The sequence below is a fragment of the Homo sapiens genome, chromosome 9, assembly GCF_000001405.40.
Source record: "Homo sapiens chromosome 9, GRCh38.p14 Primary Assembly".
NCBI classification, from domain to species: Eukaryota; Metazoa; Chordata; class Mammalia; order Primates; family Hominidae; genus Homo; species Homo sapiens.
In genome coordinates, this window is record NC_000009.12 from 119,699,566 (window position 1) to 119,700,664 (window position 1,099).

A 1,099-nucleotide genomic window follows, 5' to 3' on the forward strand; every position below is an offset into this window, starting at 1 on the left:
TCCCCTGTCTTCTAGTGAATAAATAACCTCTACCCAGTCCCTTGGTTAGGAGTGGCCATGTAACTTGCTTTATCCCATAGAATGTGAGCACATGTGACGGGTTTCATTACTGGGAGGAAATTTTTTTATCGTGGTGACAAACTCTGCACAGCTAGTGGTGGGAGCATGTACCAAACTGGAGGTGCCACAGATGGAAGCATCTGGAATGCTGGGCCAATACACAGAGGAGCCTGCCCTGGCTAGCTGTTCGAAGTCTGCAGTAGACTTTAAGCAAAAATCAGTTTCTGTTGTATTAAACCATTGAGATGCTGGGAATTTGGTTGCTGTTGCCACTGCAGCCTTACTTAGCCCGACCTCACTAATGAGGAAACTGAGGCTCAGCAGGGAATGAGTAACTCACCAAGGATTTACAGCAAATAATTGGCTAAGGCAGGATTAAACCTGGATCATTCTGACTCCAAAGTCCAGTATTTTCTCCACTGTGAAATTTAAAATATAAAGAAATTTATATTCATCCTGAGAAAAGGAGCCAGAGTAATCTTTTTTCAAAATGTAATTTACATTTACTTTGAAGTAGAATCCCAGTCCTTGCCATGTTCTCCGGGACCCTACATCATTTTCCCCTTGCACATCTTTCCACCTTCCCTCATCTTCTCCCATTCAGTCCTTCTCTTACCGAGCCCCAGCCACCATGGCCTCATTTCGGCTCCTTGAACTTTCCAAACTCCTCTTCTTGGGAAATTCACATATATGGTTCTGTAAGTCTGGCATGTTTTAACCTCCAATCTTTGCTAGGCTGGCTCCTCTTACGTGTTATGTCTCAGCTTAAATGTTCTTTTCCTTAGAAACATTTTCTCCAACTGTACATAATAACCTCCCCCATTATTCCCTTGCACCCTCCTTTGTTGCTTCTCAGTCTCGATTTCAACTTGGATTCGTATATGTGTTTTGTTACTTGCTTATTGTTTATCTTTCCAAGGAGGGTCCAAACTCTGCCAAATTCCTTTAGGTCTGTATACCAAACTCTGGCACAGTGCCTGACATACAGTAGACTCTCTATAACTACTTATTGACTGAGTGAAGGCCAACATGGAGTCTT